Source organism: Homo sapiens, chromosome 10 (assembly GCF_000001405.40).
Source record: "Homo sapiens chromosome 10, GRCh38.p14 Primary Assembly".
Taxonomy (NCBI): domain Eukaryota; kingdom Metazoa; phylum Chordata; class Mammalia; order Primates; family Hominidae; genus Homo; species Homo sapiens.
In genome coordinates this window covers 93,051,932-93,078,549 of record NC_000010.11, presented here as the reverse complement: position 1 = coordinate 93,078,549, position 26,618 = coordinate 93,051,932, and the positions used below count along the sequence as shown (strand labels likewise).

General features: G+C 49.8%; 3 protein-coding genes across 13 annotated transcripts in view, besides 3 other annotated features; all 3 read right to left on the bottom strand.

Moving 5' to 3' along the window:
• Positions 665-5,075, bottom strand: CYP26A1 (cytochrome P450 family 26 subfamily A member 1). 2 transcript variants are annotated; one of them, NM_000783.4, is made up of 7 exons: positions 4,427-4,657; positions 4,018-4,242; positions 3,481-3,771; positions 3,243-3,401; positions 2,590-2,724; positions 1,854-2,006; positions 665-1,587 (listed from the first exon to the last, which is right to left on the bottom strand). In NM_000783.4, the coding sequence occupies exons 1-7, from the start codon at positions 4,613-4,615 to the stop codon at positions 1,246-1,248; spliced, it is 1,494 nt and encodes a 497-aa protein (NP_000774.2). In that variant the 5' UTR covers positions 4,616-4,657; the 3' UTR covers positions 665-1,245. The 2 variants fall into 2 exon arrangements, with proteins under 2 accessions (NP_000774.2, NP_476498.1); NM_057157.2 differs by lacking the exon at positions 4,427-4,657 and adding an exon at positions 4,716-5,075 and having other exon boundaries at positions 666-1,587.
• CYP26C1 (cytochrome P450 family 26 subfamily C member 1) lies at positions 9,010-17,752 on the bottom strand. The gene is made up of 6 exons (NM_183374.3): positions 17,083-17,752; positions 16,316-16,540; positions 15,555-15,830; positions 14,014-14,169; positions 12,265-12,594; positions 9,010-10,230 (listed from the first exon to the last, which is right to left on the bottom strand). Exons 1-6 carry the CDS (start codon positions 17,284-17,286, stop codon positions 9,853-9,855), a joined length of 1,569 nt encoding a protein of 522 aa, NP_899230.2. The 5' UTR covers positions 17,287-17,752; the 3' UTR covers positions 9,010-9,852.
• Positions 15,572-15,741: an enhancer, noted in NCBI's record as "active region_3782". NCBI's record gives its function as "activates an Ori minimal core promoter by ATAC-STARR-seq in GM12878 lymphoblastoid cells {active_cell/tissue: GM12878}" and the evidence as "EXISTENCE:reporter gene assay evidence [ECO:0000049][PMID:35858748]".
• Positions 15,752-15,871: an enhancer, noted in NCBI's record as "active region_3781". NCBI's record gives its function as "activates an Ori minimal core promoter by ATAC-STARR-seq in GM12878 lymphoblastoid cells {active_cell/tissue: GM12878}" and the evidence as "EXISTENCE:reporter gene assay evidence [ECO:0000049][PMID:35858748]".
• Positions 16,825-17,734: an enhancer, noted in NCBI's record as "H3K27ac-H3K4me1 hESC enhancer chr10:94820573-94821482 (GRCh37/hg19 assembly coordinates)". NCBI's record gives its function as "activates a minimal SCP1, AML or CMV promoter by ChIP-STARR-seq in primed H9 embryonic stem cells {active_cell/tissue: H9 hESC(primed)}" and the evidence as "EXISTENCE:reporter gene assay evidence [ECO:0000049][PMID:30033119]".
• Positions 19,060-26,618, bottom strand: part of EXOC6 (exocyst complex component 6) — a 232,660-nt gene continuing 225,101 nt past the window's right edge. For all 10 annotated transcript variants that reach the window (NM_001013848.4, NM_001319194.2, XM_017016344.3 and 7 more), the window contains 2 exons: positions 21,514-21,626; positions 19,060-20,327 (listed from right to left, as the gene is read on the bottom strand). In NM_001013848.4, coding sequence (NP_001013870.1) covers positions 20,195-20,327; positions 21,514-21,626 — 246 coding nt within the window. In that variant the 3' untranslated portion in view covers positions 19,060-20,194. The remainder of the gene's footprint in view (positions 20,328-21,513; positions 21,627-26,618) is intronic.

The window sequence follows — 26,618 nt, the reverse complement described above, 5'->3', positions numbered from 1 at the left end:
TTAAAATTCAGAGCAGTCCAACAATAAGAACAACCCAAGTTCTACCTAAAAAACTATAGTCAGGTAGAATATGTAACTGTAGACAGAACACTTTTCAAACACCTATTTAGACCACCTGGTTTCTGCAGTATTGCCAAATTCTAAAATTGTAATGAAAAATGTAAAGTTTGAAACCTACAAGTCATCAGAGGTTCAGTGAGCAGATTGTGCCATTCCAAAACCAAAAATGTGCTTGCATAAGCAAGTCACTGGGGCTAACCTTTCTGGATTGAGAGTCTGGCCTTCAGTTCAGACTGTGGCTATGCCAGGGTCAGAAATGTGACAAAACTGCGCTTTCACGGAGGTTAGCCAAGGTTCACAGGGTCATGACTGGGCCATTTTATCAGTCATGTCAGGCTCACACCCTATTGCCTGGGATAGATAAAAACTTTATCTGTCAGTCTGCTAAATCTGCTCCTCCTGCCTCATTTTGAATAAAGAAAACCTGGGCTCAGCTTATCTTAACCAGAGATGCGCCTTTCCTAATACTGTTTCCATATGCAACTTCTAAGTAAAGGTGACACGCCAATGATTTCTGGTCTCATTTTAGTCAAGAGCTGTCCATAACTGGAGTGACTGGCTTTGTCTTATCTAAAACCGTAACTTCAGAGAACAGTTCTGGCACTATTGGACAACACAGATTTATTATGTTTATGACATGTTAGATAAGCTGGAGAGGTTAGAGTGACAGTTCTCAGTGTTACCTTTTCAGGTTCATCTTTCCCTAAAGTACAGCAAACCAAAAAAAAATTAAATTAACTTGGATCAATTTTCCAAATAGGGAATCTAAGTGACTGTAGAAGAATTTACAGAGATACGTCTGGAATAACACACACAGACATATATTTTCTAATAACTGTTAACATAAAAAACAGCTAAGATTTCTTCTCACAGAAAACAGATGCAAAGATGACAAATAAGTCCAGGTAGGCATTGTAAAATCTGGTTAAATACACTAAGAAAATACTAAACTGGTGAGTTTTACCCAACAGGAATCTTAAAATACCAGAAAAGTACCTTCAAATTTTACTTTATTTGGAAATGATACAAATTCATTATTTTAATATTTAAAGATTGTGGTAGTATAGTCAAAACACATAAATATTATAATATACATTTAGAAATTAAATATAAAGTCAACACAACACTCCTTAAAAACTCATATGTACACTTCCAATAAGTCTCAGGTTTGAACATTCAAGCTCATCAGATTTCCCCATGGAAATGGGTGAATCTTGCAGGGAGATTGTCCACAGGATACACGGTGGGACTGGTTTTCATTGTAGGAGGTCCATTTAGAAGCTGCCAGTCACAATGCCTGGCCAGCTCCACTGTAAATATTTTGAGAAGAATTTTTGCAAATTCTTTGCCTACACAGCTCCTAAGGCCTCCTCCAAATGGAATGAAGCTGAACCTGGATGCATCCTCTGGGTGAGGCAGCATGAATCGGTCAGGATTAAATTCTTCCTTGTTGGTGAAGATCTCTGCCACATCATGAGTATCACAGATACTGTAGATAACATTCCAGCCCTTGGGAATCTGGTATCCCTGCAAAAGATTATGAAACCCCAAGGGCTGACAAACTGGAATTTAACTTTCAACAACAAAAAGCAGTCACTGATATCTTTGGGGGAAATTATGAGCTAAAAGCAAGGGAGAGGTAGAAAGAGAGAGGTGGATCCAGGTTGCTGAAACATATCTCCATATAGGGCAGAACAATTATCAAAAGCATAAGAATTGCAGCCACAGCATAGGGAAGAAAGAGGAGTTTTTAAACCACAACAAAAGGGAGAAAGAAGAGAATTTTAACTTACATTTAATTCAAAAGTCTTCAGAGCAACCCGAAACCCTCCTGGAACTGGGGGATTCAGTCGAAGGGTCTCCTTAATAACACACCCGATGTATTTAAGTTGTTCCAAAATTTCCATGTCCAACTTGTTGTCTTGATTGCTCTTGCAAAGTAAACCCTATCAAAACAGTCATACAGAGGTGAACAGTTATTTTGTGCTCCAATAAAATCAGCCCAGCAGACGTAAACAGGGCTTAAGTGGAGACTAAACCCAAAGGGCCCCATGATGGGAGAGACTGGGAGGGGGAAACAGCAGCTAATGGCCATTTGCCTGCCCAAATCCACTATCTATTTACAATCCCAGGAGAATGCTGCTCACCAGTTAGAAGGACCAAGTTTCTCCCCACGCCCCCCCACCCCACACTCACCACCACCACCCACACTAATCAGCTATTCACACTATGTATGCCCTTGGACACACCAATTCAAGAAAGTGGAACCTATCTGAGAATCTCCACGGTTCAGCAAAAGGTGGAGGAGGGGTAGGAATACAAGGTCAAACCCTGCCCAAGTGGGCTCACAGCTCAAGACTCCATCCTGTTTATTCACAAAGCTAATTCTGCCCACTGGCCCACGCAGCCCTGGGCCCTGCACTTTCAAAATACTCCATGAAGGCAGCACACTGACTTATTCGGAAGTTGGCTAGGGAGCAGCTGAATTTCCTAAGCTAATAAGGACACCCCCAGACCCAGTCTCCCTACCTTACTCTTCAGCTCTTCTCGCACTTTCTGGAGAACATGTGGGTAGAGCCCCAGGTAAGTGATCAGAGATGTGGCTGCACTGGCCGTGGTTTCGTGTCCTCCAAAGAGGAGTTCGGTTGAAGATTGCTTTAGTGCCTAAGAATAGAGTGAGACCCACATTCTCACAAGTCTGCCTGCGGTTTGACAGAAGGATTACTCAGAATCGAACTGAGAGTTCTGGAGGGAAGACTAGAAGGGCTAAATGTTTTGCTGACAGAAAGTCAAGGAAAGCAATATCTTTAAACAAAATGCAACGTCCCTTTAGTTCAGCTGGAGCAGTAAGGCGAGTACGACCCCGCTCTACCGGAAACTCCTGAGTTAAAGTCTTAGTTTTATTAAAATCGCAAGGTTCTTTATTAACATTTTTGCAAATTCCAACTTTCCCTTTGAAACCTGGAAAGGCTAGGGGATGCTCCCAGTTCCGCCGCAGCCCCTTCCGCAGCTCTCCTGACCGGGTGTCTCAGCCTTCCTTCGGGATTCCATAGCTGTAGTCTGAGCCGGCCGCCCACTCCAGAAAGCTGGGCCCCAGGCGCGCGCTTTGGGGGCCCCAGGAACAGCGCTTGGAAAGCCAGGGGACCAAACTCCGCAGTGCCTGGTCTGAAGCTGCTACTCACCTGCATGTCCAGCCGCTCTCCCCTCTCCCACGAGTGCTCGATCAACAGCTGCAGCGCGTCTTTGCAGCCCTGGCCCGCCTCGGATGCCCGCAGCCCGCAGATCTTGGCGCGAATGTTCTGCTCGATGCGCGCGTGAATGAGGTTCCGCGCCTTCATGCCCTGAGCGCAGAGAGCGCGCGGCGGTGAGCAGACGCCCAGGTCCCGCGCCCCTAGTCCGCAGCCCGTTTGCCGCCCTTACCCGGTACAGCCCGCTGAAGGGCACGTCGATGGGCAGCGAGAAGAGATTGCGGGTCATTTCCTCGAAGGCCTCCACAAGCTGCTGCTCGGAGTCCCCGTCGCCCGCCAGTTGGGGTTCGCAGCCCAGTAGGATGCGCATGGCGATTCGGAACATGAGGCGCTTCACCTCGGGGTAGACCAGGAGGCCGCGCTCGCCGCAGCTCAGCCACTGCTCCAGGCTGCTGCCCACTTCCTCGGTGATCACCGGCACGTAGCATTCGAGTGCCTCGCGGCTGAAGGCCCGCATAATCACCTGAGTCCCGAGGAGGGGACAGCGTTAAAAGCCTCCATCCGCCCCTCTCGTCTACCGCCGTCCCCTTCCAGACACCCCCAGTCCTGCCAGACACATGGCACTCTCCGAGCTGGGAAAGCTAACCTGGAGCTGGCAGAGGGTCCTAGCCCACCTCAAGCTGCTAGCCCGCGCCTAGCATCCATCAGCCGGAATTCCGCTCATAAATGGGGTCCCCCTCCCTGTCCAGCCGTCGCCTCCTGCCCCCACCTTCTTGCGCTGCTTGTGCGAGGAGTCGTGCAGGTTAGAGAGGCAGCCAGATCCCAGAATGGTGCGCACCGACGCTGGCCAGTGGACCGACACCAGCCGGTGCTCTCCGAGCAAGATGCGCCGCACATTGTCCGCGCCCATCACCCGTACGGTGGGCCGCCCGAACAGATGCGTCTTGTAGATGAAGCCGTATTTCCTGCGCTTCATCTGCAGGAACTTCCTCCGCTGTGGGAGGAAGGCGGAGGAGAGAAGTGGGCATGAGGGGGCGCCGGGGAGCGCCGCGCTCCCGCCAGCCCTGCTCCTAGCCGCAATAGCATGCCTCCCGGGGGCGCCTACCCCGACTTCAGCAGAAGCCCAGAGCCGCGCCGGGCTCCGGGGAAGCAGCCTGTCCCGCCCCACCCTCCCTTACCTGCAGTACCATCTGCAAGGTTTCCCCAAAGAAGGGGAAGCCCATAGTCCCGGGGGGCAATGGGAGGGCACAACTGCGGTCGCGGCCGCTCACGCAGTACAGGTCCCAGAGCTTGATCGCAGCCAGGAAGAGCAGCAGCGGCAGCACGAAGGTGCAGAGCGCACTGGCCAGCAGCGCCGGGAGCCCCATGGCGCGCCGCGACCTCCCGCGCCACCTGCCGCCGCCGCCAGCGCTTCAAACCCCACGGCGCTGCCGCTTTATAGGCGGCCCAGGTTGCTGCCCACGTTACCTTGGTCAGACAATTAGTTCACCCAAAGTTCATCTTTAATTGCGGATTGGGCCCCTGGCTCCTCCCCCCGCGAGGCGCTGCCCAAAATCTTTAACCGTTTGTTCCGCGCCGAGGCAGAGGCGGCGCGGTGGCGGCTTCCCTCCGAGCGCGCCTCCTGGGGTGCGGGGCTAGGAGCTGCCCGCCTCCCCCATCCAAGGTGTGCTGAGCTCCGAGGCGGCGGTGGGGGAGGGCCAGGACTCCGAGGAGCCGGAATTCCAAGCTCTAGCCTTCCCGGCGGTCTCTTTGGAATCCCTCCCGCCCGGTCCCACCCGCTGCCCCGGCCCAAAGCAGCCTTCACTGGCTTTCCATTTCCAGGTGCCGGGTGGGCTCTCTTCCACGTGATGAGGAAGCAAGGGAAAGTCCTTTCAGGAATCGTCCAGCTGCCTCCTCCCACGTGTGGGGAAACTGAGGTCCAAGAGAGATGCATAAAGCAGGCCTCCAGACGTCTCCGAAGGATCGCGCAGAAGAACTCAGGGCCAGAGTCCAAGAGAGAGCCTCGGGGCATCGGGCGCAATAGGCAGATCTGGGATCCCCAGCTCCCCAACCCCTGCAAGGGGGCCAGGACTCATGAAGTCTTAGAAGGTCCTACTTCAGGATACAAGAAGGCCTCCAGGTCCCTCAGGTCCCCAGGTGCTACCCTGCACAAGCCTGATCCCCGACCCTGGGGCACTTCGTCTGGGGCTCGGCAGTCGGTGCCCGTCTCTGAGATCCAAGCACAGCTCGCCTATTCGGAGGGCCCTGCTGCTTGGCGCCCCAGCTGGACAGCAGGGAAGGGGGTCCTTAGCCCTGGCAGGATAAAGAGACGGTATAAGAGGAAGGGGAGCCCAGGAGTCCTGGCTCCGAGGCCCGGCTCCATCTGTACTGCGTGTGACCTTGGGCAAGTCACCACACATCACTGTGCCTGTTTCCTCCTCCTTAACCGGGAGGCGATCATTCCCGACCTGTCTAAGCCTCAGGGTAGTGAGTTCCCAAAAGGGGGCTCCGGTTGCAACTACTCTTCCCAGCTCCAGGCACGGTAGACTGCGTTACCTGGGTGTCCGGTACACCGGGCACTGGAGTCCTCCTCCTCTCTCCCAAGTCCCACCCAGAGTAAAGCCACTGTCCTCATCCAGGTGAGGGGGTGCTCGGCCCTAAACTCAGGGCTCTACCGACCCCTAATGGGAGGGGTGAAGGGATCCGTACTGGGAAGTCTTCTGTACTTTGCCCATCTACAATCAGCTGCTACTGAGCTGCCAATGCCCGGAGCTCAGACGCTGCGGGACGCGCACCTGCTCTCTCTGCTCTCCACCTGCCGGAGCTTCCCGGCTCGGGACCAGTCAGGGTCACACGCTACCTGGGTTTGGGCGCTGAACGCACCTGCGGCGCCGAAAATGAAACAGAATGACCTGCATTTGTTTAAAACTGAACACTGTCTCTGGCAGAAGCACGCCGCACGCCTTGGAAGGCGTCCCTTGGAGGTGGAAAACTCTGCTCCTGAGAGTTTAAATGCGTTGCCCTTCTCGCGGTAGTCCCCAAACCCGGAGGTATCAGGAAATATCTGCAGAGGTCGGAGGGACCCGCACAATCCTAGCGACTCTCCAAGCCAGAGTCGCCGCCACAGGGAGTGTTTCGGGGGGTCAGCGTTTCCCCATAACCTGCCCAGTGTTTCAGAGGCTCTGGGCAGGGTTTCAGTCTCCGGCAAACGATTTGGTGGCTGTAAACACGGCGAACCAACCTCTGGCCACTGCAGGAAGCCAGGCCAATCGCGCTGGAGGTAATTCTCAGAAATCCCGGGTCCGCCCCTTTCTGGACAGCGCCTCCGGCCGGTGTGCAAAGCCGACGAATGGGGACGTGACCTGGGGCCCATTCCCAATCCTCGGGCCTGACCCGCCTGTGACCCCTGCAGGCCGGACCGTGACATCCGAGTGAACTCTGCGGGGCCACCTCGCCAAGTTCAGCTCAAGCCGGGTCACAAGATGAGCGGGGCCTGCACGCTGGAAATTGCCGCAGGGAAAAAAACGTTTTAATCTATCTGTACATCGAGGCCGGCGGGGGCGTCCGGCAGGAAAGGATTAAATGTGAGAGTGAACGATCATTAAAGAACATCTTGTAGGGGGGCAGGGCGGGGGGTGGGGGGTCAATAAATTACCAGGCCAATAGGAACTTTGATCTAGGAATCTCGCCAAGCTTTCGTGGGTGGTGGTGGGCGGGGAGGGGGGTGGGTTCACTGAAAAACAACTCGTTTCCAAGATGTTTACAAAACAGCCTCCCTATTGCTAAGAGGCGGGGATGGGGAGTCGGGTTTTTTGTTTTTTTGTTTTTTTGTTTTTTTTGCTGGTGGGGTGGGGTGAGGGTACAGGGACTAGACTGGAGTCACAGCAAAGGAGTCCACCTCCGCTTTTCTCCTTTCAGCCCCCGGTCTCATTTCTGAACGTGCGTTCCTGTCTCACAGTTCTATACCTGCTGTTCCCTCTGCATGTGGCACCCCTCCCCCAGGCCACCGCTGGCTGGTTCCTTCCAAAGTCAAATGTCACCTCCTCCAAGGTTCCCCCCACCCATCCAGCCTAATTTAGCCCCAGACACTATCACAGGCCTGTTTTATTTCCATGACGGCGATTATCACCACTGGACATATTCTTACCCTTTTGTTTGCTAGTTTATTTCTTGTCTGCCTCCCTCCAGAGCATATCAAGTGCAGGAGGGAAGGAACCTCCTCTGCTCCTTCCCCAGAGAATCTGCAGCTACTAAAACAGGAGCTAAGATATCCCTCAAAATTACTGAGCATGATGTATCCATGGAAAATTAAAACTGGAGCCATCCCTACAGAGGCTTATAGTTAGTCCAGACCCCAATGCAGGTCAACCAGGTCTTCTTGGAACCAGCTCAACTAGCCTTGCTTCTGAGGGTCCCCACCCCATTCTTCTCTCCTCTCTCTAAATCACAATCAACCCTGAAGCCTGCATCCTTCTCCTCGCCCAAACCCACGCTTCTCAGGCCAGGCTGTCCTCTGCATTTGCAAGAGCACTCTTAGGGCGGGCCCACGTCCTGCCACCTTTGCTGCCCCTGGTGTCTCCCAAGCTCAGGGCCTGGCACCAGGCCCTTGGCTGACAATGGGTGATGAATTGCCCTGTGTGGGGGTTATGGCAGTGTCAGCCCAGGTTGGAAGGGCTTGCTGTACTGTGGAGCTACCAACCCTGTAAGTGCCTGCTGTGTCCCCCTTCCTTCTGGCCCTGGGATCCACCTTAAGCATGAGGTCAGGAGGGCACTGGCTTTCTTCTGGTTCACTAAGGGGTCAGCTCAGGCCTAGGCAGCTACTTCCCTGGCTCACCCCTTATGTCCAGCTGCCCCGGTCTGTTGGAAGCTGGGTGGCAGATTGAAGTGGGCTGTTGGGAATGATGACATGGAGGCTTTTGGCTTTGATTTAAACACTGGTTGGAACCTCTGTACCGGAATGGTTGAGAGAGTCCTCAAGTCTAGCTAGGGCTTATCATGAAAAGGAGGCCAAAGTGTTCAGCCCTACCTGATGGCCACAGGAACAGAGGTTGGGGCAGAAGAGTGAAGGGATGGGGGTGGAGGAGAGCACTGGCTGGGGAGTCCAGGAGCCTATTGCTGGGCTTCTCAGGTGAGTCATTCACCTAGATTGCTCCTCAATTTCTTCTCTGTGATAGAGAGGATGGTGAAGCCGTAAAACCAGAAGGCCCTGAAATGGCAGGGAGGGGTGAGGGCGCAGGGACTAGACTGGAGTCACTGGAAAGGAGTGACTCCAGGGTGTGGTGGGTCACACCTCTAACCCCAGCACTTTGGGAAGCCAAGGCAGATGGTTCGCTTAAGCCCAAGAGTTTGAGACCAGCCTGGGTGACATGGTGAAACCCCCCGTCTCTATTAAAAATAGAAAAAAAAATAGCTAGGCGTTGTGGCACGTGCCTGTAGTCCCAGCTACTTGGGAGGCTGAGATGGGAGGATGGCTTGAGCACGAGAGGCAGAGGTGGCAGTGAGCTGGTTGTGCCACTACACTCCAGCCTGGGCCACAGAGGAAGACCCTGTCTCAAAAAAATAAAAATAAAAATAAGGTCCCTGAAACCTGGAGACAATTCACAGCCCAGCTTCTGGGGTTATACTCAGAGAGAAGTCTGGGCAGCCCAGGCCCTAGGCTGCCCAGCTCCCAGCTCCTCTCTGGGTGTACTGTGGGGTGGGTCCTTCCCTGGCCTCCCCAACCCTGCACCCCAGTGCCTTCCCCCCAGGGAGCAGCTGCCCAGATAAACCCTAGCCTCCTCACTCAACCGCTCCCAAGACACTTTATTTCTTGGCCTTCCTATTTTTGGTACAAATATCTCAAACCTCTCTAATTATGTCTCAACCTCCCATGAAAATAATCCAGCGTTGGAGACGTGTTGGTGTGCCTATTCTCCTCTGTATACATGACAAGAGTAAATGCCTTCTTAAGGTAGGAATTTTTCCTTTTAAGAAGTGGCCAGCAGAATCCGGTGACCTTGAGCCCTTTCGAGCCTGGAAGTGCCCACAGTTGCTAGTTTCCGCCGAGACCGGCAGAGTGGCCAAGGCGCACGAAGCCAGACGCCAGCTGCCAGAGGGCCTTCCGTCAGGCATCCTCTGCGTGTTTTTTCTATGGCCCAAAGCCAGGCCAGGGTTGCGCCCACGGCGTGCCCGCTTCCTTACAAGGGTTGCAGGTCCCACCGCGTGCGTCGGGTCTCTGCAATGTCCCCGAGTTGCAATATTCCCACTCCCCTGCCACCCCTACCTCGCCTTCCCCCATCCATGCACCCTCCCTGGATTGGCTCGGGAAGGGGAAGCCAAGCAGCACCTCGTGGGGATCTATCTATTCCCTCCATTCCTGCTTGGCCCACGACATTTTCCTTCCTCTGGGCGCGGAGCGCAGAAGGCATCTTCCCATGGGCTTAGATGCTTCTCTGGCGCGGCAGCGGTGGCTCGCCCTCCTCCTTCCTCGAGTCCGGCACACATCCGCGTTTGGCGAACATTTGTTGAAAGATTGTTGAACGAGTGAAAGAGTGGGCGCGCGACGCTACAATGGGGAGCGGCAGATGGGTGGCGCTGCGTGCGCGCCATAGCCACCGGCCAAGCCGTGTCCTAGAGCGCAAGCATGTCAGAGGCATAGCCCATTCCCCGCAACCGAAGGCGTGAGGGGGTGGAAAAAGAGCCGCAGCCCGTCCACTGGGTGCACGATGGGCACCGTCTGCATGGCGGGGAAGGCGGGTGTGGCCAGTTCCCAGCGCGCGGTGCGCACTAGCTCCACAGCTAGCAGCTGGAGCACGGCTTGCGCCAGCTCCTGGCCGAGGCAGCTGCGCGCACCGCCGCCGAACGGGATGTAATGGAAGCGGCTGGAGGCGCCCCGGGAATCTTCGCGCGCTGCGCCGAAGCGCTCTGGATCGAAGCCTTCGGGAGGGCTGCGGTACACCGCAGCCGTCTCGTGCGTGTCCCGGATGCTATACATCACGCTCCAGCCCTTGGGGATCTGGTAGCCCTGCAGAGAGGCGAGGAGATCAGCCTGACCACGAGGCACCTGGAAACGGGGGGGCCCTGAACTGACCCTCCACCCTGGTGCTTCCATCAGGCTTCCGAAAACCAGGAGGAATCCGCGATTAACCCGGAAACCAGGAGAAAGCTCTGTGTTCCAATCTCAACTCCTTCACTGGTGAAATGTATGACCTTGGGCTAGATGCGCAGCCTCTCTGAGCTTCAGTTTCCTCTTTGAAAAAATGAGGGGAAAAATGGCCCCTTTGTTGGTGAGGATTCAAATTAAGGACTTGGCACATATGAGTGTTCAGTAAACGGTAACTATTAGTTATGTTCCCGTTTGGTTTTGTCTTTTTTTCTTCTGACCTTAGATGAGGAGACCTAAATTCTAGTGCTACACCTCCCAGCTGCTAGAGTGGGAAAAATGCACATGACAATTCCTCGAGGTCAGTTCCATGGTAGAGCTCTTCTTTGCATTGAACTGAAAACTTGCCATCCTTCCCATCCATCAGCTGGACGATAATGTTCAGATTTGGTACCACACTTTAAGAAGGCGCACATGAGAATCAAACTGGCCATCCTTAAAATGCTGAAAGGCAGTTTTCATGTTCCCTCTGCCCACCCCTAGCTTTTTCAACCATTTGGCTTTTTGATACGTCTTCCAACCCCCTGACTACACTGCTACCCTCATATCAAGTTCCAGGGTGAATACTCAAAGTTTCTAACTGGAGAACAGAACATCTTGGAATCATCCCAGGAGCTCTCTTTCCTCTCTAGACATCAGTGTTCTCATCTGTGAACTGGAGGTGGCTAAGACCCTTTCCTGTCCTCTGCTCACCACCCTGGTTCTGTGCTTCCCTAAGGTCTTGTAGGGCACTCCAGCGCCTGCAGAATGAAGCTTGCATTCCAAGACTGATTCCGCATTCAAGACACTTCTCAACATCCACCTTTGTCTGAGTCTGCTCTCTCTGTAATAGGCTCTCCCGTCCAAACCTTTCACTGCTCCAGTTCAAACTCCAGCTCTCAGAATGTGTTGGTGTCATCCAGCACTAGAGATCACTCTCTTCACACTACAAGTGGGATGAGGCTGTCACACTACAAGTGGGATGAGGCTGTCAGTCCCGGCCCCCTTCCTCTCCAAGTGGAGCCCCTCCAGGGTAGAATCCCAGTCCCTTTGATGCCTCCTGAACCCTGGCACGCAATGTGCCACAAATGTTCACTGTGGAATGCCCATTTTTATCTGGAGCCACCCAGCCACCAAGCATGGTGCTCAGGGGACTGCAACGACAGCCTTTCAGGCAAACACCCACAGTTTGGCACAGCCAGAGCACCACTGCCTGAGGCCACCACTGTACCCCCACAGCCCGGACCCACCTGGATGGAGTGTCAGAGCTGGAAAGGACCAAGACAGCTTCCTTGCAGAGAGTAAACTGAGGCCCAGAGTGAAGAGGGAACTGCCCAAGGTCATACGGAGATGGAGTCAGTTCTAGACCTCAACCTTGCTCAGCCCAAACCGGCCTGATCAGAGATGAAGCGTCTACCCGGTATTTTAATCCCCCCCTCCCCTGGAATCTGGCCCCAGCCAGAACCCTGGACCGGTCGCAATGAGGGGTTCCTTCATCTTGTGAGGGAGCCAGAGGGGTGGAGCACAGGACATACTGAGGGGTTCTCTTTGTTCTCCATCCACACTCACTGGCTGGGAGGGGGTGCTGCACGGATAGAAGAGTATTTTTATTCTAAAACTCCGCTCTCATTGAATTGACCGTTCCGAACCGCTGCCAAAAGCTGAAGGGTACGAGATCCCTAACCTTGCAGTCTCGCCAGGCTTTGCGTCCCTCAGCGGGGGATCCGGGGAGGTGGAACAAGGCTCAGCCCATTTTATAGGACGGAAGGCTGAGGCTCTGAGGGCAAAAGAGGTGACCGCGCCGTCCGAATCCCTCCGCCCTCCTCCCACCTGGGCGCCGCCGCGGCAGGCGGCAGGCGGCAGGCGGCAGGCGGCAGGAGGCAGGAGGCTGGCCATGGGCTGGCACGGCGCACTTACGTCGAGCTCGAAGGTGCGCAGGGCGGTGCGGTAGCCCCCGGACACTGGCGGCAGGAGGCGCAGCACCTCCTTGACCACGCAGTCGACGTAGCGCAGACGGCCCAGCGCCGCGAGGCTGAGGTCGGGCTCGCAGCCGCAGTCGGGCGGGGGCCCCTCGCTGCCCCCAGCGGCCCCGGGCGCGCAGCCGCACGCGCGCCCCAGCCCCTGCGCCACCAGCTCCTCCCGAATCTTGGCGATGGCCGCCGGATGCTGCAGTAGCAGCAGGACGAGCGAGGTGCTGGCACTGGCCGTGGTGAAGAAGGCGGCGAAGAGGAGCTCCACAGCCGACTCCTGCAAGACAGCCCCGGGCTGCACTGAGTCTCGGGCGGTGGAGTCGCCCGGGGCGCTGACCCGACGGCCCCGTGGAGATGAAAAGCACCCAAATTTACTATTGCGAAAAGCCAGGGGGCAGGGAAGTGCTATTACCGCCGCGACTGTGTGTACGGTTTTGAAGTCGATTAAATCTCAAGTCCACCATTTGGGAAAGTCAGCTGTAGCAACAGGCAACATTAGGATCTATCCACCCGCCTTGCGATGGTTCCCAGAGAGAATGCGGGAACTTACTCTAAGCACTCTTCTTGGTGCTTTAAGCATATTCACTCATTCGGTTCTCACCTCCCCTCTGTGAGGCACAATTGCTGCTCTTGTTTTATGGAGTTGAAAACGGAGACTCCAGAGTAGTGCTCAAGGTCCCTACAGCTAGCACTCCCGGCAGGAGTCCAGTGCTCTTCACCACCTGGTGGTGCGGCCGCCAACCCCAGTGGAACAGCCTGACAATGGCTGCAGTGCAACAAAGGCACCTGCAGCAGCAGTGCCAGCCTCGTACCAATGCCGGCATCATGGCTTCATCCTCTCCCTATCGGAATGGTCCCAGGGAGTCACTAAATGTCTTCTTGGTCTGCTCTGCGCAAGAAGAGCCCATTGCTCATGCTCTTATTAGTTCCAATCTCAGAAAAGAAGCTAAAGCTGAGGCCTACCCTTCAGGGATGTCTCTGGTAGAAAGTGGGAAACTGAGGCCCAGAGAAAGGATGCGTAAGAGTTGCTTATGGAAGATTGAGGTCTCCCTATTTCTAACTTCCCCTCCCCCTAACTTCTCCACTCCTTTTTGGGTGCTCAAGCAAGTCCTGGGGCCATTCCAAAGCTTACCACCTCCCCTCCACTGTATGTGCGATGTGTGTACAAGGGGAGGGGTCCTAATTCTCCAGGAGATCCACAGCAACAAGACAGACGGATAGAGGTACCAGGTGCCAAGGTAGCTCATAGAAGGAGAGAGGTGATTTTGGAAGGAAGAAGGGAGCTTTGAGGATGTGGAGTTTGATCCTGAGCCCCTTAGAGTTTCTAGAAAAAATGAATAATGAGGGCTTTGTAGGCAGGGGGACAGCAGAGGCAAAGGCATGGAGTGGCAGAGAAGGGCAGTGGGGGAAGGAAAGGAGAGAGAGCCATTTGTGGCCAGAAACCTGCAAAGATGGGCCTAGGATTCTTGCCTTCAGTTCTCCTACTGACAAGGCTGGCTGGAGGCTGAAGGCTGCAGAGGTAGTGAGTGTGGCTGAGTCATTACTGGAACCCAGGTCTCCTCTTGCCCCTCATCTTGAGGACTGCCTGTGCCTCAAAGTGGGGCCACACAAGATGTGGCTCTGGGGATGCAGCATTGGTGTAGGGACCTGCTGGGAATGCAAAAGAGGGGAGAAGGAGCGGCCTGTCAGCACCTACCTTCAGCTCCTGCATGGAGGGCTCATGGCCCAGCTCCCTTGCACTGTGAATGATTAGGTCGAGGGCATCACCCGGCTCTGCAGCCTTGTCCTCGTGAAGCTTCTCAGAAATGGCCCCCTCCAGGTGCCGATGCAGCTGGTCCCTTGCCCGGATGCCCTGATGTTCAGGGAGAGAAGAAAGATGGGGCAGGAAGGCTAAGGGGGCCAAGCCCGGCCACTTACCCAGAAAACCTTCTCAGCACTGGCTCTGCCAACATCCTTGTGTTAACAGCTTCCCAGCTTAGCTCCTGGCCTGGCATATGGCTGGGCTCAGTAAATGGTCGGGGATATGTCCACTGTCCACAAACATCATTCTGTCTTGATTATCACAATCCCCCTCTGAGCCACAGCAGAGTTACTGTCATCCTGAGGAGAGGATGCTGAAGTTCAGAGAGGTCAAGCAATTGCCCAGAGTCACACAGCTGTCCATGTCCATGCCTGGCACAGAGCCCAGTGCGGCTAGGGTCAGCCCATTGCCCTTTCCCTGTACTAGGCTCAGGCTGGGGTACCTTGATGCACCCAGCAAAGCTCTGACTTAGAGGACACTATTGGATTTGTAAGCATTAGCCTCTGTAAGAGCGTGGGCAATAGGGGATGCCTCTCCAGAGTTCAGGGAATAGCCGCAGCAAAAGCATTCCCCCGGGGAAAGCACTGTAATTCAGCACTTGAGTTCCATAGTCGGAGGAGATGAGGTTAAAGTCCTGTTCGTGCCCCTACTAACGGTGTGATCTTGGGTAAGTCAATAAAATAAGTTTGGCCAATAAAATGAGAATCATAACACTTTGCAGGCTGCGAGGATTAGATCAGAAAACGTATCCACGGTGATCAGCCTATAGCATGATCCTTTACACATATTATTTTTATGCAGGTGACTGAAAACCAGGGAATCAAACAGTGGGAAGTCCCAGAATAGGGGGACCAAAAGGCGGGATGGGGCATCCTAGCTGCTCTCCGGGTCCTGCCCATTGTTCTGAAGTCTGGAGAAGCAGCAGTTCTCTGATCCCGAAACCTAGCGGGTCCAGGGCTGGTGGAGCTGACGCCCACACCCCTGGGTCCGGGGCTGGCGCTGGGCTGGACCGGGGCTCATCTGCAGCCCTCACGCTCTCCTCGGTTCCGCAGCCATCTGGGCTTCCGAAGAGGTGATGGAGGCCGGCCCCAGGGGCGCCGCTGTGGGAAGGAGTCCGACCGACTGGCAGGACGCCTGCCACCGAGACCCCAAACTCTGGCGGCCCGCGCTTGCTCAGGCTGGAGCGCGTCGCGGCAGGCGCGTCCCACGGAGGTCGTGTGGCCAGCCCCAGGTCACACCAGCGAACCAGCACAGAGGCCAGGCCCAGAGCCCACCGCCACGCCACCGCCACAACGCCTCCCACCCCCGGGCCCTGCCGCCGTTCCCAGCAGAGGTGACGGACGCGCGGGGTGCGCCGAGGGCGTCCCGTCTGGGTCTGGGAGGCCCGCCCGCGCCGCGGAGCCTCGGAGGAAGGTCTGGAGCCGGGGCGGCCGTACCTTGCGTAGGCCACTGAAGGGAACGTCCAGAGGCAGTGAGAAGAGGTTCTCCACGAGCTGCTCGAAGGTCCGGGCCAGCGTGGCGCACTGCGCCTCGTCCAGCCGCAACCCCAGCAGGATGCGCGCGGCCATGCGGAAGGTGAGCGCTTTGGAGGCGTCGTAGACTGAGACCGGCCCGCCCGCCGCGCACCAGGAGCGCACCTCATGCCGCAGCGCCCCCTGCAGGCGCGGCACGTAGCGCTCCAGCGCGGCGCGGCTGAACACGCGCGCCAGGACCTGTGGGAGCGCGCGTGATCAGCGCTGGCGGCGGTCTGGCCTCATCTGCTTGGCGATTCCGGAGTAGCCAGAAGGCCAGTTCCGGTCCTTTCTCCCTCTTCCAAGCGGCCCAGACCTAAACTTCCTGGCTTTTGCTTTCGCCATTTCCCCCAGTTCTGCTCTGATGCACACAGTCCCTCCCAACCATCCAGGCTCCAGCTGCCATCTCCTCTAAGAAGTCTTCCCTGGCCCCTTTCTAGGTCTGAGTCTCCAGCGCTTCTGCTATCACAGCCACGGAAGATGGGAGATGAAAGAATCTTTTAGCGCAGTCCTAACTTTATAAACCGAAGCTGAAGGTAACGGACCCGCCCAAGGCCACCCGCTAGTTACCAGGGACCTTGGTCGGGTTCACAGTGTATCCAACACCGGGGCCCCGGCCTGGCCCATGGCAGATGCCGGGGACCGCGGATCCGACGTATCTACGGTCCATTCCCGTTTCCACTCACCTTGCGCCGCCGCCGGTGCGGCTCGCCGACCGCACCTAGCAGTGTGTGCGAGCCCAGCAGGATGTGCGCACTCTGCGGCCACTGGCTGCGCACCAGGCGGTGCTCGCCCAGCAGGATGGTGCGCACGTTCTCCGCGCCGCTCACGCGGATCACTGGCCTGCCCAGCAGGTGCGTCTTGAACACTGTCCCATAGCGCTCTCGGCGAGAACTGTGGAAGCGCGAGCCCTGCGGGCGAGGCGGAGGGTGGAGAGCTGGAACTTCTGGGCCTGGGCTGGGATCTGACCCAGACCTTCCAGCTGCCTTTTGATCACAACTTCCTGTCCCTGGCTGGCGCGTTTACAAAACAAGATCCCCAGTGGGCCTGGTATCTACTCTACGGGAATGTACATGCTCCTGTTCCTATTGGTGAGATGAGGAAACAGACTCAGAGTGAAGAAGTGAGGGCCCAAGGGCTCACAGCTGGGCCAAGCTCCAGGCTCCTTTTCTACCCTTGCAGGACGTGCTCCTCAGACCCCTTCCTAAAACCCCTTATGTTTACCCCCTGCGTTGTGTCTGGGAGTTGCTCTGGGGGGAATTCCAGTGACTTGAGGTCCCTTCGAGGGAACGGAGTATCTAGGTAAAGGCGAGAGTTGTGCGCGCTTCCCGGGGTCGTGGGCGATGGGCAGGGACTGGCTACAAATCCCATGGGCATTGAGACTGAGGAGGGTCCAGTGGGAGCCGGGGGAAGAAGGGACCGTATTAGCGCTCGGGGTCGAAGGACTGCTCACCTGAACTAACCAGTGCAGCGTTTCGCCGAAGAAGGGCCACCCCATGGAGCCCTTGGGCAGAGGCAGGGTGGAGGCCCGGTCCCGGCTCAGCATCCAGCGGAGGGTCCAGAGGTGCTGGGCCAGGCTGAGCAGCAGGCCCGCGCACAGGAGAGCAGTGCCCGCCGCCCCCAGCACTGACAGGCAGCTCAGCCCCCAAGGGAACATGATGAGCCCGCGGGGGCCAGGCCGCTCAGAGCGCAGGGAGAGCAGGGGACGCAAGAACCGGGGCGCGAGCAGTGCGCAGTGCTCACCTGTTCCGTCCGCAAAAGGCCTGGGGTTTGGGGGCAAAGCCCGAGATTTATAAGCTCAGGCCAGAACTCTGTTCTAAAAACAGACGGACGGTGAAAGACTGCAGTGACCGTGCGCCCTTAGGGAACGTGCCTTCCTCGAGGCCGGCACGCTCAGGACTTTTTCCTGGCTCCTGGGCCCAAATGCCAGTCCCTCTCGAAGGTGCCTGCTGCCTCGGGAACGCTCACTCCCGGCTCCGCGGGGCACCTCCCACCTCCTCCCGGGCTCAGCACCCTTTGGATAGAAGAAGGGAAGGAGGGCGAAAGAAGAGCAACTCACCAGTGTTGCCAACCTGGTCTGCAGACCCCCGCCCCACCTGTCCCTCCTCCAGTCGTTTAACCCTTCTTGGCCCACGCTGGACACGTTTATATAGATATTGGCTCCCCCCCTACGGACCGATCCCGGTTCACACAACGTGACGTGTCTTTGCATATTTAAAGCGCTCCACGCAGAGTGGTGATTGGAGGCGGTGGGCAGCGGCGCGCTCACGGAGGGGCTCTGAGTAGGGAGTGGCAGGCGCCGGGGCGGCTCGAGCTGGGCTGGGGGCTCGCCCCGCGAGCGTCCTCGGGCGGGGCCTGCGGGTTCGCGCCAGAGCTTCCCCGCTCTTCGCAGGCGCTCAGAAAGTGGGCGAACCCAACGCGCAGAACTGACCCGGGCTTGCGCCCCGCAGTGCTCCTGGCCCACCCCCGGCCGCTGGCTCCCTCTGCCGTCCCCGCCCTCGAGCTTCTAGGTGCCTTTCTCTCGCCACTCCAAGGTGAAAGAACTGGGCTTTTCTCTCCTTTGCTCCGACTATTTCAGGGAAACTGCAGTCGTCGACGCCTGCGTTGGCATCGCAAAAGCCCAGGAGGGATAGCGCAGCCGAGATTCTCCGACAGCTCCCCACCTCTCCCGGCTCTCTGATCTACCACGTCAGGTATCCTTCCAAAGATGGCAGTTCCACTACTGCCCTAGGCTTCATAAAGACGTCCTAAGCCTCCAGAAGCGGATACCCACGAGCACCTTTCCGGTCTCAAGGACCGAATTCATCCTTCCCTGCACATCCTTCCCTCCCTCCCCCGAGTTTGCCCGACGACTCTTGTCAATCTACATTGTTGCGTTTTGGGCTTTGTGCGTCCCATTCAAGGGTTCCAAATGCCTCAGGACTCACTCGTTCTTGTCCCTACAGTGCAACCTGGGGTGTGTGTGGAGGGGTGCAGGGTGTTTATATTATTGGTAAGAGTAAAGAGGTCCCACAGTGGTCTCCTCCAGGCAGTGCAAAGGCAGTATCTCTCTGAATCCCGGGACGTCTCAGCCAAAGCAGGGAAGACACCCCAAGTACGCTGGAAGGCTGGGTAAGGCGCGAAGGGCAGCCCCATTCCAGTCTTCAAAGAGAGCTAGCTGTTCACCGCTCCTCTCCTCCAGATTTCACCGTGCCTGAAGAACTACCATGCTTTTCATGTAATATTTTTAAAAACATTAAATACTTTGGATTAAGAGATGATCGAGAGAACAAGTGCGCATATGTATATATATGTGTGTGTGTGTGTGTGTGTATGTATATATACTGTTTTGGTGCCACTCCCATTCCAGTAACTAGGAAATAATATGCCTTTTCTCCAGGAAGCACTTGTTTTAAATCAGTAAGCTCTGAATAGACAAAATAGTAATGCATTTTCAACAACTTGCTCAATATTTTTAATATTTCATCACAAAATCCAGAGATGTACATATAATTCTTTACACTTATTTTACAGAATCAGGCATAGTTTCTTACAGGCCTAAATCCTGAAAAGGCAAAGGGAAGATTCAGCATAAATACAACAAAGGGAGAATAAAGACTGGATTTATATTGCCATTTGGACCACGGAAACATACACAAAGGAAAATGTACATTTGTTTTAGGTTTTCCAGAGTTCATTTGGTTTGGCTTGTTTCCACAATGAGGATAAAGTACTGAAATCTGCTATTTGAAGAAAGTAACCTGACCCCTGTGGTAACTTCTGTGTGCAGGAACCATCTACCCTCGCACAAGCTGCACCTGAAGTGGTTAGCCCCATTTAGTTCCTGTCCTCTCTTTTAACTGGAACCAAACCAAACCAAACAAATCCAGAATGGGGTCACCTACAAGCAATATAGTTAGAAATATTAACCCTGATGAACAGAAACAACACTGCATCTTTAGAAAATCCAAAACCTTTTGTTCATATTCAGAACGATTAAATTAAACCACCCAAGTAGAACAAATAATTCACATTCTTACTGAGTTAAATCAAGTTTGATTTCAGGCAGCTTTTAAGATTTGTCTATTTCCCCTTCAGAATTAGCAGAATTAGAAATTTTGGTCTGCTTAAATCACATTGAGGTGAAAATAAAAGCTAAAAGTCAGAAAATGGTAGTGAAATACTACCATATCAGACATGATTGAATTCCAAAGCCATATACTGATCAAAAAACAGATTATCATTCAAGTCTAAATAGAAAAAAATACTTATGAGTAGAGGCATATGTTTTTCAAATGTATTTGTAATCAATTTCATGTATAATTTGTGACAATTTATGTATTACACTTTTGCATTTTCCCCTAAAAGTGAAAAAATGGTCATTTTTTTCCATATATAAAATAGTATTCGATTATTTAAAAATCCATACAAATGATATTTATTACTATTTCTTGTTTAAGCCCTCATGTATCTTCTCTATTGTATTTTTGGATTCTGTAAACAAATTACTGTATCATGACCAATACTTGCTCAAGATCAACATTGAATCATGGATTTGGTGTCACTGAGTGCAAGCCATGTGAGGTCTACATGTGCTGGGACATACCATTCACCAAACTTCTCAGCTGTTTCACGACTGTCTCTATCAACTTCTGTTTGTCTCGATCATTCTTCCTGAACTGAGCAAATATATTGTTCTTTTTGCTAGTATCCTTCATCCTAGAAACATATGTGAATGAAGAAGCTTGGTAAAAGAAAATTAAAAGCTAAGCTGTCACAAGTAAAATATCTTGGCATGCTCTGAATTATCCCACACTAATCCTATGCTTGAAAAATATAGTTCAAAGAAAGTAGATACTAAATAAACATACAGATATAGTAACCATGCAAAAAATTAGAAGCTTTATTTTACATTCTATGTTAAGTGGTATTTTTGCATTAGTATGTACATCTAAAATATGCTAGGTTTACTACTATCATACTATTTTCTAATATTATTCCACAAAGTATGCTAAAATACATACCCTGTATAGACTCTGCTAATCATATTCATAGCAAGATAAGGTGAAAGGAAAATAACATTAGAAAATGTAAAATAGCGATGTTTTTGCCTCAGTTGCATTTCATGGCATTGTAAAATAAATTTACATTTATTTTAAACACTTCCTCTTGTCCTTTCAAATCAAATACACCACAAATATTTTGAAATATAGGAAAATAATAACAATTTTAATTTAAAATTGAAAATTTTAATAGTGATACTTTTTTATTTTTCTTATCCAGCAGCCCCCAGAATCACAGCAGATTCAGAGAGTCTCCCAATAGTGACATTTTAAATGAAATATGATTGAGTAAAGAAAAAGTCTGTCACATAATGAGAGGGAAAAGTTAACACCTAAATTTATGTTTAGTTGGACAAGATGCATCAGTAAATCCTATTACCTCAGTTTTTACTGTATTTTTTTTTTCAAATCACATATTTCTCTACCTGCAAAGAATCCAAGTCCATAATGCTAAGATTTAGGTAACACTGGTGGCAAACATTCCAATTCCTGGTCACATTTGACAAAATACCTTCTTTCCTGAGTTATAGACTTTTTTTTTTAAAGAAAGCTCCAATTGTCACATCCCCAGTAAACATATTTCTAAGGTCAATTAAGCTTGCAATTCAGGATACAAAAGGAAAGATGTTTTGTTCACATCAATATAAACAGCAGTTGCTTATGAAACTACACCAACTCTGAAGGGCAAGAAAGAAAAGCTTATTTTTTGGTCATTAAACTAGAGTGAGCTTTTAAGCTCCATCTAGACTTTTCTTTTTTGACAGAAATCTCTAGTTCTTCAGTTTATCACTGAATCAAAAGGTGCTAAAATGTTATACAAAAAAGTTTCAGAATATACTCACTTCTCCAAAAGAGTAAGGGCTGTGTTTGGATTCACCCGAAGGTACTTAGAAGCTGGCTGCCCATAATCAGCTAGGTAAGTAGACCAATCCCAAACCATAAACAGGTCAAGGAGCTGCGAAAGATGGGGGAAATGTTAAATCAACTTTTGATTATTTACCCAGTTAATACTTAAATTATATGCTATCCTTGGTCCATTTTAATATGGCTTGCTTCTTAGATGGAACAGAATACGGAAATTCATTTTTAAAACTTCATTAACTGTACTTTACAATCAAAATAGATCTTTTTACTTTGAAATTACTAAAAATGCCAGGGGTTGTTTTCTAGTAAAATACTTCATGTTTTCAAATAATTGTAAAATAATGAAAACAATGTTAATATAATATATATTAACCCTTGTACTGATGTATAGAAATTTTATCTTTATGCATTAGTCAGTACCCAGATTTAATTAATAAAGGTTGGTGCTACTAACCTGTATGAAGAATTTTAAAGAACTTAAATTGAACCTTTTTTTCTTAGAGGTAAGTATGTTTACCTTTCAAGGACGCTGTTTGCACCTAAGACTTTTTCCAAAGTAATTTAAACCAAAAGCTCAGATAATCTCAATTAAGTGCATTAAACAACCTCTGCTAGATTCTCTCTGGTGATAGATCCTCTGTAGTATTATGAAATGAGGGCTTCAGGATTCAGCCTGTTAACTCTAGGCTACCATTTTGTATAAACAAACAACAACAAAAAAGAAACCCTCTTGTTTCCCGTGGTGTCTTAAAATTGACTATTTACTTTATAATCTCCAGTTAGAATCATTGTCAAATATGGAAGTAATCTTTTAAAAGCAATGCCATGCCTAAACCTAAGCACCAAACTCTTTATCCAACTTTAAAACCCTAATCCCCTTTAAGCCATTTAAAACCAACTTCCTATCCCCATTTGAATTGTTTCAGAAAGCTAAATGCTTTACTTACTACCTTCCTTTAGTTTTTATATTCTTTCTTTTTGTTTTAACTCACTTTATAAGTAAGGGGTCTTACTGGTTTTGCTTTCAAATGGAGGAAACATTTGCATTTACTCATGGGATACAAGAGCCGACCACTGACTCTGAGAGGGATAAAACTCTGGGGTGATTAAAACCTCATAAAGAAAGGTCACCAGAAACTAGCTTTTCTTGATGAAGGTAAAGAACTTGCTTGACTATTTCCCCATCCAATTTACAGGTATTAATAGAGATTTTCTTGCAACAGGCAGAAAATTCTATAATGAAAATATTAACTATGGAAAGCCACTCTATTTTCTTTCGGACAAGATACCATTCTGGGCCATACCAACAGTTGAAACACTAGGATAGAAACTATACTGAGACAATGTTAAAGAATATACTGTCTGAAAAAGAAAAGGGAACTTATTTAAAGTTCTGTGTAATTTTTAACTGTTGTTTGGCCACATTTTTCCCTCCTTTCACAAAGAGGAAAAGTTACTTTCATACACTCAGATGGTAAGAGTGTAAATTAGTATAACGTCTCCGGAATGTGATTCTGCAATGTGTTTAAGAACCTTATAAAAGTGGCCATTCCCTTTGATTCAGCAATCCTACTTCTTGGAATGCAACTTCGAGAAACAGAAAAAAATTTATGCACAAAGATATTAATCTCAAAAATGTTATTTGTGTTATCAAAAACTGAAAATAGCCTAAATCTCAATATTAAGAGACTGGTTAAGTAGTGAGGTCTATCTGTATGATGACTATCATGTGGTTATTAAAATTAATGTTTACAAAGAATTTTAAATAACTTGGGATAATGTTTATGATAAATGTTGCTACTTAAGTTACATAAAAACCCATCCAAAAAGACTGGAAGAAAATTTGCAAAAACGTTAAGGATGCCGGTTATAAGCTGGGCATGGTGGTGTGTTCCTGTAGTCCCAGCTACTCTGGAGACTGAGGCGGGAGGATCACTTGAGCCCAGGAGTTAAGAGTCCACCCTGGGCAACATAATGAGACTTCACCTCTAAAATAGTAATTTTTAAAAAAGAATGATTGTCATTTATGTGGTGGGATTAAGGTTAACTGTTATTTTCTTTATTTTTGTAATACTCTACAATGGATATGTGTTAATACTATAGTTATAAATAAGGTTTATATATTTATATATTAAAATAAATTTCAATAATGAACACCCCTCACAGAGTTGTCAACAGAAGCCTCATTTTCAAGGATTCTTCTTTCAGGTATATGTGTGTATTTGCACAACTGTGCATGTGCAATGCACAGTGTCAGCAGAAAGCAACCTCTTAAGGCTCTTTTTCTCTAGGCTGATTTACCCCCAAGTGGGAAAGGAGGAGCCGACTTAATGAATGAAAAACCCGCACCAACTCCAACTGTGAATACAGAATTGATTCTTTTACAGCACAAGACCAGACTGTCCTGGATAAAGAAACACTATGCTTACAATGTTCACATATGGTCAGATACTCATATGCAAATCTCTTATGTGCAAATCCGCAGAAATTACAGGAACCACAAAATTAAACCTACCTGCCCATATGTAGACAAATCTATATGCTTTCATATTGACATTAATCTTTGTATAAATATTTATAGAAATACATATTGTACACAGTTAATTTACAGGTATCTGTAGAAATCTGCACGAATTTGCAAATTAATGGTTAAGGAATTAATTGCCAAAGCAGACAAAAAAGCCAATGATCTACATAAGATTCATTTATTTATTCAACATATATTGACTCCCCACCTATCACGTGCTAGATACTGTGCTAGGTACCAGAGATACAGCATTGGAACAAGACAAAATCTCTTTCCTCAAGGAGCTTACATTGTAAGATAGGAATAAAGCAGTAATCTTTTGATGTTAACATGGAAGAAATTATAAAGAAAAGCTATTCACACAGAATCCTAGTAATTTAAACTACAGTAACACATGAGGAAGCTACTATCACTTTAATATAGAATAAAATAGAAACCATTAACTTATATAGAAGCTGGTGACTGCCTGCTCATTCCGCTCAGTCTATGAATCCAATGACTGAAGATCCAATGGCTGAGACATTTCAGTGTTTGTGTCCCAAAGACTACACATGGACATGGGCAGAGAGCAAAGATGGAGCCAGCAAGCATGTTGATCTCATATTCTCATTTATCATTTTCATGTGTGTAAGGATTTTTCAAATGCATTGTACTGCTGGAACAAGTAAATAGAAACAAACTTCAAAACTGGGCAGGCAAGCTCATAAAGTGTGTCTAGCACAGTCTAACCACTCAGTAGATATTCAGGAAATAACTGATTAAATGATGATGCCAGACCATTATTCCAAGTTTCCTTGGGAGCTTTTTTCTTAGGCTTTATAAGTACAGGCTACTTTAGCTTATGCTGATAGCTCTCTGAAAAAGGCCAATGTTGGCTTGCAGGCAAACTATGGCAAGTGAATATAGTGAAGTGACATCCCTGTATCTCTCCCAGCTTTTCACTGGGGTATTGATAAAGAGGAGAGACTCCATCATGATACAGCATTGGGTCTAACGTTAAGTAAGTCAAATGATCTTCCTGGAGAAAGTAGCGTTAATATTTCTGAATTGTCTATCAGTCTCCTTCACGCATAACAATTATAAGGTCATTTTTCACTTTTTATAATTCAGTTCTATTGAAGTGAAGGATAAAACAAAAAACCAGGACTTTATTCCTGGGTCCCACCTAACATTATGCCAGGCCAGATTTTATGGACTGAACCCATTTCCACAGGCAGCTATCCATGCCTGTTCCGACCAAGATGACCCTGGTCTTTGATTGGGATGACTTTAAAAGAACATGATTGCTTTGGAGTCAGAGTGTGATGGGTAGAAAAGGGGAAACTGGGGTGTTGCCAGGTACAAACACTAATACTTGCCTTCACTCTACCCCAACAGTCACTGCCTTGCGGACTGCCTCTCACAATTGGTTAGGCTTCACAGGATGCACTATGTTCTTAATATTAAGATCTACATTATGAAAAATCTCACTTCTCTACTTAAGTTTTGCTTCCTTCAGATGGCAATGCACAAATAATATGTTTGTTATTAATCACACAAAATCTCTTTCAGTCTTGTAAATAAACAGTAGGACATGGTCTCAACAGGTGTATTTATTGGTTAACACATACACCTGAAGTTCAAAGATGTAGATCAAACATGAACAAAAACAAAAATCTCCCCAGATTACCCAAAAGCAATTTTACAATTACTTATTAAAGGATAAAGTCAGGCATATGATAATGAAAATTGGTATTAAGCTTTATAAATGGGTTTCTTCCAATAGTCAAGTAAAGTAATTCCACCTTAAATCCTTTTGGGAAGTAAGCAAAGTACAGATGATATAAAAATGAAAAGGCAAAATCATGTGCTTGAGTTCTACCTCATCATGATTTGTAAGATTATCTGAAATTAGTATTCCAAGTTTTTTTTCACCAAGGATTCAAAAATACCCTTCATAACTAATCTGATAACATAAAGTGGGTGTATGCCAACATTTGTAAGTGAGTTGTACATTTCACTTCCTCAGCATTCCCTGTGTGTGTCCAGCAAACACAAAGATCAGCTTAAGGAAAGAAGTGTTACATGGGTGGTCCCATTTATATGCTCAAAATAGTTGAATCACTTCAGAATCACTGAGGAATTCATTTGTGTCAACCCATTTAGCTTGCTGACAGTTTCCCATCCTACAGACTCATTCTCGATCCATGCCCAAGGAACTTGGGGTTTCAGACCTGTTGAGATCACTTTGTACAAATGACACAATGAATCTAGGCAGACTTAAAACTATTCTATGAAACTCTTGAAGTGACTTTTTGCCTTTTTAAAAGTGAACCCACAGTGCCAGGTCATTTTTTCCTTGAATCTGATTTAGCTTTCTTTGTTTTGGGTCTTTTGGGTTTTGCTTTTGAAGCACCTCAGGGGCAGTGACCCAGGACAGAAGATAAATAAAGTTAAGCCAACCTCAAGAGAAAAGCAATTGGGGATACCAGGTTTGCTTTTGTAAACGTGAACAGTGACCTGGGGGCTCAGGGTCAACCTCAGTCCCCCAAGTTCCCTTTTCCAAACACTAAATCC